Source organism: Homo sapiens, chromosome 11 (genome assembly GCF_000001405.40).
Source record: "Homo sapiens chromosome 11, GRCh38.p14 Primary Assembly".
Taxonomy (NCBI): domain Eukaryota; kingdom Metazoa; phylum Chordata; class Mammalia; order Primates; family Hominidae; genus Homo; species Homo sapiens.
In genome coordinates this window covers 19,830,075-19,845,362 of record NC_000011.10, presented here as the reverse complement: position 1 = coordinate 19,845,362, position 15,288 = coordinate 19,830,075, and the positions used below count along the sequence as shown (strand labels likewise).

Here is a 15,288-nt window from a genome sequence, read left to right as displayed (position 1 = left end):
ACATATCTTCTCCTTTGGTATCCTCCAAACAGGCAATATTTAGCGAACAACAAATGTTTATTATTGGCCACCCAGATAAAGTCTAATTGGGAGGTTAACCACCTAGCAATCTAGAAATGGTGGCTCACACCCTATGCCATCTTCTCAAATTATACTTCCCATGAGCAAAAGTGCTTTAACTCTATATATGCTTGTGTGCACACAGGTGTCCTATTAGCCAGAAAATCATCCATGCCTGTCTATCGAAAGAACTTCCTGTGTGATCTAGTGAGTTCTGCCTTATGAACTTGTCATTGTTTTGTGATGTAGGGGCAAGAACAATGATCCTATTGTCCTTCTCATCATCCTATTCATTTCCTACAGAATAGAATGACTGTGGCAGAAGTTTTCACATTTTCCTGGACTCACATCCTGTACGCTGAACTACTCTCTGCTAGGCTTACCACAAGACTGTGTCTGCCTCCCTACCCCTAAGCTGGAACTAATTATCACAGACAATTATAGGATTTTATATTCTTGTGTTCTAAAAAAAAAAAAAAACACACAGTTCACACACACAAAAACAAAAACAAAAAAATATAGCACTGGCATGGCTGAAAGAGTTATAGAGAAACTGCAACACTGCATTGGTGCTATGGTAGTATTTATAAGTAACTTATTTGCATATGGAAATAAATTTGCAAAGAAGAATCTGAAATGACAATATTACAGGTTGAACATCTCAAATCTAAAAATCTAAAATCTAAAATATGCCAAAATCCAAAACTTTTTGAGCATGACATGAGGCTCAAGGGAAGTGCTCAGTGAAACACTTTGGATTTTCAGATTTGGGATGCTGTAAGTATAATGTAAATATTCCAAAATCCAAAACATTTCTGGTCCCAGATATTTCAGATTAGGGCTACTCAATCTGTATAAGCTTGGAAGTAGACTCTAACAACACGCAAAACCTCCAATAGAAGGTGCTTAGAATAGAGGTGCACCAAATAGAATAAAAGGTTGACAATTTCCACATACCAGTTCTACACACACATTATAATGGCCTGGGGCAATTGCATCAGTATCTATCCTGGAGGGAAATAATGCATCTGTTTCATATGAAGATAGGACTACATGTGCAGCATGCCTGCACTAAAATTAAGTCTTCTATCATCCAAATTTTCTCAATTATTAATACCCTAGACAGCTGCAGTAGCTGCAGCAAAAATAGCAGCCCAGCTTTTCCAAAAGTCAAAGCAGCCATGAGATGTCAGCCTGGGGACTTTCCTATGTAAGAAGTGGTTGGTCTTTGGATCAAAAAGAAAGAAAACCTTCAGTGGAACAACAACAACAAAAACTTGTTTCAGAATATAAACTGGAAAATGACTCCCCTTCCATACATACACTGACATCTTTATATTCAAAATGTGCATTAAAAAAAGCCAACTAAAATGGCTGCCTATTTGCCCAAGTCACTGGGATAACAATTCAGAAAACTAAACAGTAAGCCCAAGGAATGCCAATCACTTTGGTTTATTCTGAAATGAGACCTATCAAACTGTGCCTACTCAAAGGAGGTAGGATGGGGTTACAGAAGCAAATTAAGCTTTTTTTTTTTTTTTTTTAGATTTCTGGAAGCAAATGAACATCCAGCAAAAAATAGTTGTCCTTAAGTTGCCACCTTCATGTTTTAAATAGGTTATTAGTGTTATCTTAACAGACTCTGAAAATATACTTTTTTTTGTAAATATTCATGCTTGAAATTTGTTTTGAAGTGAAAAACTAAGCCAATGTTTTCTGAACTCAACAATGACGATAAATTTTAATTCAAAGATTATGTGCAGGACATGCAATAAGAAAAAGAACAGATTTTTAAAAGATTAGTTTTGGGGGTTATGTATAAAGCTATAATATCAGAACTTAAATGCATCATGCCAGAGAGAATATCACTTGCAAAGGTTATGTTGAAAAGCTTCAGATGTGACTGCACATTTCACATTTCCTGTCACAGTTCTGATTTCACATCATTCCAACCTTTAAAGGCAATCTGACCACATGCTCCAGTTTCTGATTAGTAAGATACCATCACTTCATCCGTGCCTCAGCTCCATACACAAACACATATTGATGTGGGTCTTTGAGGAAGCAGAACGAGCCACAGCAGTTCAAGTACTAAACATGTATATGTTTGTACCAGTTCTGCATAATTTGTGTCTAAGAACAAGGACAATATTTCACTTTAACTGTCTCACAATCTACATAAAAATCATAGCCATTTTTCAATAAATGCCAACAAATGTCAGAAAAGCAGAACACAGCTACTTGGAAATAGCTGTGAGTTTATTAATATAATCCCCTGGAGTAAAGCATCTGGTATGAATGTTTTCAAGATGGTCAATATCACTTAGAGGCAGGGCTTGCTGACAGAACTCAAACATTTACTACCTATGCACCACTTACCATTTGGGATCTGTTCTTCGGACAGCCATTGATGTCTTCAATCTTTTCATTTGCTGAAAAAGGAAACACAAGTCAGAAAAATAAATCACCAGAGAGACACTTTCAGTAGTGATGTTCAGGACACTTGAGGCAACCAAGTCCTAAGGCCCATACCAGGGTTTGTCCAATCAGTGCAGGCATGTGAAATACTGAGACACATCTAGCAAGCTTCAGGACTTACTCATCGAGCTGCCGTCCTCCAGGGACAGCTGGGGCAAGGTCGTCATCTAAAACAGAGACAACTGCATCGATGACAGTCTTGGAGTGAAGGGGCATCGTGGAAATGCTTGGAGACTGGGAAAGAGAGTGAGCTAGCTGTGATTGTGCTTTAGGCTCTTGGAAAGGCAAATACAACCGTCACAAAAGACGGAATAGTTCAGAGTGGATCAGTCCAGCTACAACTCAGCTCCCAGAGAAAAAAGCCACAAATGAAAGCATCTCACTCCATCTTTGGCCAGATTAATATTGCTTTTGTTTGTCCTAATAACTATTCCCAAAGCAGTGGCAAATGGGGAAAATGAGAAAGTGAGACTTCATCACTTTCTCACTATGTGACTTGACCAACGCCACACAGTAAGTCCAAATTAGATCAAGGGACACACATATGTGTGTCCAGCTACTTAGAGAAGTGATGGAAAGAGGTTGCATTGCATTCACAGGAAATCAAGTACTAATACAAAGGAGGACTGGCCCAGCTTCCCTGGGTGAATGCAGTTCATCGTAAGTATGGAGGAGTCCCTGGCATAACACAGTCCAAGATATCTATGGAGAGACTGTGTTTGAGAATACAGCAGCACAAGAAAGGCCGTAGCATAGTGGTTAGAACACTGACTTTGGAGGCAAAGATACGTTAGCGTGAATTCCAGCTGCAGAGCTTCTTAGCGTGTGACATCAGGCATGTCACTCGACCTCTTTGGGTCACAGTTTCCTCATCTATAAAACACAGTTAATACTACCTGCTTCACAAGAGAAGCAATTAGAATTAGATGATGCCAGTAAAATGCTTAGCACGGTGCCCAACACGTAGTAAGTATTCTCTAAATGGTAGTATCATGAACCCAATAATACGTATTGTATATAAAAATTGTCCTTTTGATATCTCCGTCTCAGTTTGGAAACTCAGCTAGGGCTCCACAGTAAAGGACTAAGGGTTAGCTTCCTCTTGAAACCTTTATATGCTCCCTCTGCAATCCCATGTCCTCACTCACAGAAGGGAAAGATACACTCAGGCCTCTGTCCTCACAGCACCCTGTACCTGCCTCTGTTTTGTTCTTAATCATCCAATACATAATTCCTCCTTTTCTTGTTTCCCCAAAATATGCTGTGAGAGCCTAGCAGACGTGTATAGTTTACCTTTCACATCTGTATCCTTTGAGCTCAATAACTGCTCACAAAATTGAATTCCCCAAATAAAATCATATCATATTTTAATAAATATGATACCTAAAACTTCCAAAAAGAGAAAAGCCATTGGAAACTGTCTGAAAAAGATAATAGAATCAAAGTGTCCCAAGCCTCCAAGATTTTAGAAACCTGAATCATTATCTCAAATTGAATTCATTTTTTCTCTGTTTCTATCTTGAGAGACAAGTGAAAATTAAGAAGCAAGCTAGTGGCAGAAAATTGTTTAAAAATCTAATTACCATAAGACAGACTGGTTAGTATATATTCAGTCTAATCTACACCTTTTTTTTAGAACCTGCCAGAAGTAATAGATGTTAAGGTTTATGACCCACCTGGGAAAATCCCAATCTTCAGAGATCTAATTGCATTTTCTCAACTCCTCTTAATATAAGAACACTAGGATAGGCATTGTAGAAAGCCTTGCTCCCAAAAGAGGTGCCATGAAAAGCACAAACAAGATGCCCACTGAATGGAATAACTCATAGATGTTTGTTCTTCTGTTTATTAGAAAATATAATGAGCCAGAATATATTGCTAGCTTGTAAACTTCATAAGAATAGAGATTCTTATCTGCTTTGTTTTCTACAGTCACCCCAGAGCTTAGCACAGTGTCTGGCACACAGGAGCCACACAATAAATACTTGTTGAGTGGAACTAAGAAATAAGTCTTCTGAATATCTCAATGAATCAAGAAATCTTGATTCTTGAACATTGAGATGAATCAAGAATAGCTGCCTATTTTCAGGCAGCTATCCTTCCATTTATAATACAGATGTATATACTAAAGTCCAAAAAAACCAAACACTTGACAGATGGCACTCTTCCATACCTGGGAAATTATGGCAGGCATGAGCTCTGACCTTGGATTTTGACACTCAACATTGGAGAGAATAAATATGCAGCTTTTGAGAATCAAGGCCAGTCAAGGTGTCTTCCAAATGGATACTCATGATGGCCAAAGTCATAAGTCATTGGATTCTGATCAATACCCAGTTCAGCATTAGGTCATTAGTGCTCATTACAGTGAAAGACGGATAACTGTGATCCTAATAAGTCATTTGGGACACTTTAAAGATTCTTTATATGCCACCTGAATAATGAAACCAAAGGGCTTGGTCTAATTTCTCATCTAATTCCTTTTCATGGTCTGTCACCTAAACCCAGTCAGGTGCTCTTTGAATTTAAATATCATGGCTCTTACAAGCCTAATACTTCCATTTTACAAAAGTCAAAATAAACTGATGGGGTAAAGCCTAAATATAACCACTCTAAAGAGTACACGGGAAGAGATGAATCAAATGACTAATCCAATCTCAAAATAAATAATTAATAAAATTACAAAATGAGTTTTGGGCCTCCTAGTTTCCAGTTTCATATACTTGAAATACTTCTCCTTTACTTAAATTCCCAGGAATTCCTATGGTTGTCATAAATAATTAGAGTGCTAATAGCAGCTCTGATTCTGCTGGTAAGAAGGAAGAGCTTGGTCTTCAAAGCTGAATTTAGTAACTCAGGGCAGGGGGTCTTTGGCTGCATCCCAAAAGCAGATAATCAAAGAAACAAAGGCACTTATCCCCAAAGTCCTCATCTGTGATTAAAACTGGCATCCTTAAGTGCCAATGGTAATTTATTTATCCCAGCGTATTCAAGACTTTCTTAGCCCCACTAATGCAGTAACCTGCCTGCATGCAAGGTGACTAGTTAGTGACTGGAAAGCATCAGTGCACTTTTAAAATAAGAACAGTGATATCAAGCTTATTACTTTTCAAAAGACTTCATTAAAGGATTCAGAACATTTCAACATAGCTTGTGCATCTATGCACTTATCATCCCTGGCAGTTAACAACCCTGCCAATGGGAAGAGACAAAAACTGGCTCCCCAGAAAGGTAAATGACTTACCCAGGGTCACATAATGGTAGTAGATCATCAACAGAAAGAAGGGATAGTCCTACATGTTGTCTGAATTTCCTGGTTGTGTTCAGAGGCAGCCCAAATGGTGGTGGAAAAGAAGCTGCTATCAGGTCTTCCCACTTCTAAGAAGAAATTCTCTCTCTCTCTTTGCTCCCTTTTTCTCCAGTCCTCCTTTGTTCATCTTTTCCTTCCTCTCTCAACTCTTATCCCCTTTTCTCCCACCCCTTCTCTCTCGCTCCCTGCTTTCCTTGCTCCAACCTCTTCTGGCATCCTCCCTGTGTGACAGCAACGTAAGCAAAGGAGGGAGGCCTGTCTCTCTCTTGATTCATGCTGTTTATCCTGGCCTCTTAAACCTTCTTAATAATTCACAGAGATGCCACTGTGATGGGCTGGCAGGCAACAGCCAACTTGGGGAAGCTCATGACTCAAGAAGATAATCACACTAACAAGACGTTGAACACACAGATCCAACCTTAGCCACCAAAGGAAGGCTCCTAAAGAGCAGCAGCAAAAGGCCCACTTTCTTCTGCCTTATAGAAGATGATGGCAGAAAAGTCGCAAACAATCCCACTATCTAGGAAGCCCAGCTCCAGGGGTGTCTGGGATAGATGAAGACTTAAGAACAGCGCATGTGAAAAGCATTTAAGGCCAGGCATGTGGCTCACACCTATAATCCCAGCACTTTGGGAGGCCGAGGTGGGCAGATCACTTGAGGCCAGGAGTTCCAGACCAGCCTAGCCAATATGGCAAAACCCTGTCTCTACTAAAAATACAAAAATTAGCTGGGCATGGTGGTGTATGCCTACAATCGCAGCTACTCGGGAGGCTGAGGTGGGAGAATTGCTTGAACCCGGGAGGCAGAGGCCTCAGTGAGCCAAGATCGTAACACTGCACTCCAGCCTGGGTGACAGAGTGAGACCCTGTCTCAAAATAAAACAAAACAAAAACCATTTAAGTTTTTCCTTGAAGTTACACATCAGATGTTACTTCTCAGCCTGAAAAATCAACTCTTCAACCACTGGCCCTTGTTCTTAGGCTAAAGCCCAGAATTCATTGCCTTATACCTGGTGGCCCTGCCCGACTTTGCCTTGCTGGCCCTCTGGCTCTCCTCTCCTCTCTACACACTATTTTCTCTGCTGGGAATGCCCTCCCTGACTGCTTTGCCTGTCTCACTTTAATAAAGTCTGAAGTCTTGGCTTATAGGTAAGTTCCTTGAGGAACCTTTCTGTGATTGACACCCTCCCACCATCCCCACTCCATCATAGGTCGGGTCTGAGCACCTGACCCACGATGGAGTGGGTCCTCAACCATGCCATCATCACTACACTCCTCCTGGGCCTAGAAAGCGGCTGTCCCTTAAAAGGCACAATCGTGCTGCCTACAGATTTTGATAGGCCTTCATTTAGATATGTTTTCTTTTTAACTTTTCATTTTGATACAACTTCAAACTTACAGAAAAGTCACAGGAATAGTATAGAGAATTCCCCCATACATCATCCATTCTCCTTTCCTTTCTCCCTCTCCTCCCCTCCTTTATCTGTAAGGCACACATATCATCTTTCTTCTGAGCCATTTCAGAGTAAGCCACATAGATTATGCCCTTTGCTTCTTATGCTTAGTGTTTATTTCCAAAGAACTAGTATATTGTCTTCCATAGTGCAGCTATAAATTCTGGCAATTTAACACTGATTTAATTCCAACATTCCAGTTTTGCCAATTGAGTAAAAAATGTCCTTTAGACCATGTGATTGCTCTGCACAGGATGCAGTTCAGGATCACGTAGTACATTTAGCTGTCACATCTCTTTAGTCTCCTTCATCCTGGAACAGTTTCTCAGCCTTTGTCTTCCACAGCATTCACATTTTTGAACAATGTAGCCCAGTTTTTTTTTTTAATAGAATGTTCCACAATTTGGGTTTGTCTGAGATTCCTTATGATTAGTTTCAGGTTTTCCATCCCTGACTGGCATATAGCATAACTGATGTTGTGTTCTTCTCAGGGTATCACCTCAGGAAGCACATGACGTCCATCTGTCCCTCACCAGTGATGTAATTTTGATCACCTAGTCATGATGTGATCTGGATACTCCAATTAGTGCTTACTTTGTTTCCCCTTGCAGCTAATAAGCAATCAATAGAGAGATATTTTGAGACTATGCGAAAATCCTGCTCCTCCTCAAATTTCCCCCTCTAGATTTCAGCATCCGTTGATGATTCTTGCCTTAACTCCCATTCACCAGAAGGCTGCAACTCCCTCTATCAGTCAGCGTTCTCCTGTAGAGTCCAGCCCTCTCTTCTCCTCCATTGATATATCTATTTTTAAATGTATCTATTTATTATTATAGGCTTGTGGATTCCTATTCTATTTAGTGGCTATAATCCACTGTTGTCCTCAATTGATTTTGATGTTCACACTGTCCCCAGATTGGATTATTCTTTGTAGCCCTACAGGGAATGACACTACCAAGGGGAGGACTTAATAAAAGAAGAGCTGCTGTGGTCTGAATGTTTGTGTCCTCCCAAAATTCATATATTCAGGTTTAATCCCTAATGTAATGGTGTTTGGAGATGGGGCCTTTGGGAGATAATTAGGTCATGAGGGTAAAGATCTCATGAACAGGATTAGTTTCCTTATAAAACAGGCCCAAGAGAGCTGGATCACGCCTTCCACCATGGAAGGACACGGTGAAAAGATGGCTGTCTGCAAATGAGGAAGTGGGCCCTCCCAAGACATAGAATCTGCCAGCACCTTGATCTTTGACTTCCAGCCTCCAGAATCATAAGAAATAAATGTCTTTTGTTTATATGCCACTCAGTCTGGTATTTTGTTATAGCAGTCTGAATCTAAGAAAAGAGCTTTTGAAGGATTCCAACTCTTCACCATTAGAACTAGTGCCTGAAAAGGTAGTAAGCTGCCCATCACAGGAAGTAATTAATAGAGGTTGTTGACTACTTTTTATAGAAGCAATTCATTCATCAGATCGGAGCTTTTTTTTTTTTTTTTTTGAGACAGAGTCTCGCTCTGTCGCCCAGGCCGGACTGCGGACTGCAGTGGCGCAATCTCGGCTCACTGCAAGCTCCGCTTCCCGGGTTCACGCCATTCTCCTGCCTCAGCCTCCCGAGCAGCTGGGACTACAGGCGCCCGCCACCGCGCCCGGCTAATTTTTTGTATTTTTAGTAGAGACGGGGTTTCACCTTGTTAGCCAGGATGGTCTCGATCTCCTGACCTCATGATCCACCCGCCTCGGCCTCCCAAAGTGCTGGGATTACAGGCGTGAGCCACCGCGCCTGGCCCAGATCGGAGCTTTTAAAGGTCCTTTCCAAACCTGACAGTTGAGAGCTGTGGTAGATCCCTAGAAAGTAGAAAGGTGTGACATACAATTTAGAGGAATGTTTAGTGGAGTACTAAATGTTGAGAAGGGGAAACATTCGGGCCACCTATTGGAAACAATCCAACCCAGGCTGGTAGTGAATAAAATTCTTATCCCTAATCCTCTCAACTTTTCCTGAACATCACTGCATGCAAGGCACCATGCTAAATGTTGGGAACCCAGAAAGGAAGACAACTAAGACCCAGGCCCAAGACAGCAGCTGGTGGGATGATAGAGGGAGGTCCCTCTGGTTCTGTGTCGGGGAGCTAGGAAAGGTCTCAAAGAGAAACTCACTTTTCAAGAATAAGTAGGAGCTTGCCAGTCAAAGAACAAGTATAGCCACTAGAATTCTGTCCAGTATAAGATGAAGTCAGTAAGATTCCAATTCTGGGAAAATTTTATGTAGATATATATAAAATTTTATGTAGAAAATTTTATGTAGATATATATAAAATTTTATGTAGAAAATTTTATGTATGTATATATAGATATATGGATATCTATATATACATACATATGTGTATATTAAATATGTGTACACATACAAATATATTTTTACATTTTCTTTTAATGGGCATGTATGGCGGAAAGCATGGACTTGAAAAGCAAAGTGTTCAAATGGCCAATAGTTCAGCATCCTAGTCAGAAGATGCTTCTCCCCCCTCTCACCAAGAGACCTGTGTTCATAAGACAATCTAAGAGTAAATGCTCTGAGCTGGCTGATAGACAACTGAGGAAAGAAGTCACACAGGAGATGCCTACAACTGCTGTCTTCTCACTCCTTTTAGCCTGTTCTCTACATACAGAGCAGAGTTTCCAAGCCCCAGCACAGCCAGTCTGGCGAGAGAGTCACATGCTGATATCCAGCCTTATTGAGGAGTCTCTGGACAAAGCGATCCTGTGTTGGAGGGTGGAGGGTTTAGGGAAGCAATTTAGTGGCCTCAGGTGTGGCCTGGACAACTGGTGCTAACTTGGGTCTCTGGAACTGCAGACCAGTACCCTAGGCCTAAAGATGCCACTGTCTAGGGAAGTTCATCTCATCTGAATAGATTCAGGGAAGCATCATCCTGAGCAATGATAAAACTGCTAACTTACATTTTCATAGCACTATGTTTAGAAAATGCACAACATACATACTCCCATTTGCCTCTTCTGAGCCCAAGGCAGACATGACTAATCTATCACAACATACTGACACAGATATTGAGACCTCATCATCCTTCCATACATACCTTTCTAGGTAGCTGCTGCCAAGTGCTATCTGGAACATGCCATAGATTTCAAACTTATGTCATATTTGATACCTAACTTGAATTTCATAAGACTGCTGTAAGATCAGATAAAACAAGCATGAATATCCTCATTTTAAAGATGGAGAAACAGGCAGCACAGCTGATCCCACAGTCAGGAGGGATGGAGCTGGAATGAATATAAGACCTCTCAGTATGATCCTTTTTATATTCCCTCTCTTGCTGCCTGTGCTAAAACCTGGGAAGTTTTCAGGTAGAAACACTCTGCACAGCTGCAAAACTCAGTCAAAGTAGGCCCACATGCATAATGTGATTCTGCTGATGTGGGCTTCAAAACCCAGCTCAGATGCAAGTGGTATTTCCATGACCATCCTACCAAAGAAAAAAAAAAAAGGTACCCCTTCTTCTGAGGTCTCAGCCTTCCACATTTGTTATTTATTCTTAGCAAGGAGTACAGAACTGGAACACATTGGTGCTCAATAAGTGGTTACTAAAGTGAAGGAGGACAAGGCCCCGCACTAAGTTAAGCATCTCTGGAGTAAAAAGTAATATAATACAGCAGAGCAAAGAACAGAAGCTTTAGAAGCAGACTGCCTGGGTTAGAATTCCCATGGAGACTAGTCAGGTGACATTGGACTACTAAGCTTCACCGGGCCTCAATTTCTGCATCTGTAAAATGGAGAGAATACCACCTACTTCAAAAGGGTTTTGAGAAAATGAGAGATAGTTTAAAAGAGCTTTGGACAATAATGATGAAGAGTAAGAGGAAGAGGAAGAATTGGAAAAAGGAATGTGGCAGACAGACTTTACAGCGACCCCTAATGATGCCTGCACTTTGGTATTCATGCCCTTGTATCATCCTGTCCCCTTTGAGTGTAGGGACCTGTGACTTGCTTCTAACCAATAGACTATTGCAAAGCTGGTAAGATGCCATTCCCATGATTATGTTAAGTTAGGTAAGATTCTACCTTGTTAGCAGACTTGTTCCAGAAGCTTTCTCCCATGCTGGCATTGAGGAAGCAGGCAGATATTGGGAGGCCCATGTGGCAAGGAGCTGAGAGCAGCTTCTAGGAGGTGATGGTGGCCTCCAGCTGACAGCCACCAAGAAGCCAGGGCCCACAGTCTTATAACAGCAAGAAAATTAGTTCAGCCAACAAACTGAGTGAACATAGAAGCAAACCCTTCCCCAGTTAAGCCTCCAGATGAGAATGCAACCCTGGGCAACAGCTTGACTGAAGCCTTGCAGAGGCACCCAGCTAAGCTATGCCTAGACTTCTGATGCACAAAAGCTGTGAGATAATAAAGACATGTTGTTTTAAGTGGCTAAGTTTGTGATAATTTGTTATACAGCAACAGAAAACTAATACAGGGAGAGGAGGAAAAAGGAGAAGAGGAGAATCAATGGCAGGTAGTCTAAGAAATCAATCACAAGACAACAGGGAAAACAAACTCCTTTCTCTTTGAATGGCAGCAGTAGTCCAACAGTTTCAGCTAAGGCCAACCTTCTGTGTTTTCAGGTACGTACTCCACGGATTTGAGCAGAGCTCCAACTATGAAAGACTACTTCTCACACTTGAAGGGTAAGCAACTTTTCCACAACAACATGCCAGAGAGGCTGGGCCCTGTCCTCTCCTTGCACCTTCTCCCTTGGCCAAGGCTACCAGTAACAATAATCAGGCTAATGCTGTCCAATTGACCTGTAAGCCTCCTCTGTCTGCTCTGGGCTCTCAGTCAGGCCCATGGGGTGGTTACCTTAAGGCCCAAGGCAAAGCTGTGGCCAGTATCCACCCACGTGCCTTCACTGGAGGAACTCTCTCCTCCCAGCACATGGTCAAGGCATGACAAATTCCACTGCTCAAGTTCCCTTCCCCTAGTATTAACCCGGACCATCTAATCCTCTCTGGAGTCTTAGCCTTTGATTTGTCAGACCCAAGTAGAGTTGGCAGGATTAAACCAGCCCCACGTTACTTTTTTTTTGGAAATATTTCCAGAGTAATCCACAAAAGTACCATCCAAAGGGGGAAATGAGAGAGCCAGAAAGATAATGGGAGGCAAGAAGTGGTGCAGAACACATCTTCCCCAAACCACCAGCATTTCCCTCTGGCCTTGGCCAGCCTTTCTTCTAAGAGAATCAAGATGATATTTCTGTGTATGTGACCTTAACAGGAAAAGCATAAAATCAAGCTGGTACTCACACAACTTAGTCAAAACACAAATCAAATAAATTGTCAAGACATGAGACAGAAAGCTGCCTTCTGAGAGATTTCAGTGCTCTGTTCCCCTCACCCCGGCCTTTTGAGATGGCTCCACTGTAACTCATTACCCCCAAGGTAAAATCTGCTCTTACCCACAACCTGGATAATCTGGGCCAGGAGGACGCCATCTGTCACATCTTGCTGGAGATCCCTGATGAGACGCTTGTGGCCGGATTTGGCTAGGTAATGATTGGCCCAGTCTGTGTAGATCTGTAAAAAAAGCAAACAGGCAACTTTAGGAAGCCAGTCGGATCCCCTCTCAGAGTCTGAGGCAGCTGCTCGGGCCGGCACAGTGGCCACTGTCCCATTGGTGAGCTTTCAGGGCCAGCCAGCACCATTAAAATTCAGTGCATTGTGCTGATCACGCATTCAGCTAACCATAGCTGGGCCTTAGCCTATTGAGAGGACTGCCGTCAAGATTCAGGGAAAAACTAAAGAAAGCTTCAAAACATGCAGAGGGCTGAATGAGACAGGGGACACAGAACTAAACAGTCTGCTCCAGACGGCTTTGAGAGGCTGCAGCTTTGAGAGGCTGCGACTCTAGATGCAAGCAAAGTCTCCCCCACCCCTTCCCATCTTTTTCTCTTTATTGAGAAAACGTATGGGGAGGTTACCACCCAACAGGCATCTCTTAATGGGCCATTTCAGGGTAAGGAGGGCTATTGAGCTATTCTGAGTTCTCAGGAGCCTGGGTCCCTTGAAAAGAAGCCAAGTATGAAAACAGAGCCCCTTCAATTACTCTTGTGTGAGTGAAGTTATTTATGGCCTCACAATAATCTCAAATTTAATCGGTTTAATTTAAAAGCCAGGCATCATTTTCACTGTTGGGATTCTGTGAACAAAACCAAGCAAATTCCAACATATTTAAACACAACACTGTTGTGTGCAGCATTTTAGAAGGCAAAGACTGGCTGACCCATGGAATCAGGAGAACAGACCCCCTTGGGGAACATATCTGACCTGCTCTTCCTGGTCACAGAATGGTCAGGAAAGAAGAATATTTTCTTTCGAAACAGGCCAACAAGCACAAGAAAACTCTTGCCTGAAAATTTTCTCCCCAGCCATCAAAGCCAAAAACAAAACAAAAAACCTTCTGATTTTGAGTGCCAAGTTCCATGCATGGACTTGTGAGTTTGCAGAAGAGTGTATATGTGAACATGTAGGCCTTAGGGTATCAGCACCTCTTTTTTTCAAATGGATAGGAACAAATGATTGGTCAAAAGGAGAATGTCCTGCCTCAACTGGTTAGTGACAACAGGCTCAAGTACTAATCCCATGATGTCTCCACCAAAATGATGAAGGTGATCATTCTACCTCAACCAGTAGGCCTGCTCCGAGGATCCATGTGACTCCCAGAGCAGCATATGGTCTCATCCTCACCCTCCATCCTGTTCTTCCAAATGCCTTTCCCAGTGTAATCCCACACAATGGTCATCCCCCCCCACTCCCCATCGCGCCCCCCCCCCCCCCGCAACACTCCTGGAATGGGAACAGGAGCCGGGGTCAGGTTTGCCAAGCAGAGACCTTCTAAGGAGGTAGCATCTCTGGCTACTCCACCTGGGGACCATGAGGGCCTCATACCAGGAAGTGATGAGGTGGAGCTGCATCTTCTGGTTCCTGAAGAGATGAGAGCTGTAGCACCTGTCCACCACCCACCCACCTAGAAGCTCTGTCTTCCACTGCAAAGGTGCACCCACAGTGACCTTCTATTTCACAACACAGCCCAAGGATCCAATCCTTAAATCCATGCTAGTCTCCTTCCCCGTGACTCTCCAGTTGTCAGAGACCAACGATCCAGTAAAGCAAGAGTATTTTCAATTTTATAAGCACAAAGAAGGCTCAGGAAGTAGACCCCATCACCTTTGTAATGACAATAGCCAACTTGAAATTTAAAAGATCATTAAAGAAAATTATTAAGAGGGAGAGAGGAAGGAAAATAAACATTAAAAGGAAAAGAAGCAGACATGGGTTCAGGTCCCGGTTCTGTAGGCTCCACAAGAGTAGGGATTTGGGTATGTTTTGTTTAATGACGTATGCCAAGTACCTACAAGAGCACTTTTGAAAGAGTGCCTTATGCAGAGAAGGAGCTTAATAAATCCAACTAACATACAGTGCCTACTACATGCCAGGCACTGACATAAACATTTTACACACGTTAACTCATTCAATCTTCATTCTATGTGGCAGAGGTTATTATTGTGTCCACTTTTCAGAGGAGAAAACTGAAGAGCAGAAAGGTAAAGTAACCTGTCCAAGGTCACAAATAAGTGGCAGAGCCAGGATTTGAGCCCAGACTAACCTATTTTACAATCCCTTTGACATCCTGCAATGCCTCTCTGAATACAAATGTGAATGTTAATCGAGTTATTCATCCCTTCCGTGGCATCCTCCTACTGACTCTAGGTTCATGCCTCTATTATGTTCTCAGTGAAAGAATTTATCTTATTTTATTTTTATTTATTTTTTCCCAAGACAGAGTCTCGTTCTGTCACCCAGCCTGGAGTGCAGTGGCGTGATCTCGGCTCACTGCAACCTCCGCCTCCCGGGTTCAAGAAATTCTCCTGCTTCAGCCTCCCAAGTAGCTGGGATTACAGGTGCATGCCACCACGCTTGGCTAAT

The 15,288-nt window shown here is 42.2% G+C and overlaps 1 protein-coding gene across 46 annotated transcripts in view; it reads right to left on the bottom strand.

Annotated features, from left to right (window-relative positions):
• NAV2 (neuron navigator 2) overlaps window positions 1-15,288 on the bottom strand; it is a 776,366-nt gene that overhangs the window by 276,239 nt on the left and 484,839 nt on the right. For all 46 annotated transcript variants that reach the window (XM_017018520.3, XM_047427824.1, XM_017018522.2 and 43 more), the window contains 2 exons: window positions 12,762-12,879; window positions 2,440-2,492 (listed from right to left, as the gene is read on the bottom strand). In XM_017018520.3, coding sequence (XP_016874009.1) covers window positions 2,440-2,492; window positions 12,762-12,879 — 171 coding nt within the window. The remainder of the gene's footprint in view (window positions 1-2,439; window positions 2,493-12,761; window positions 12,880-15,288) is intronic.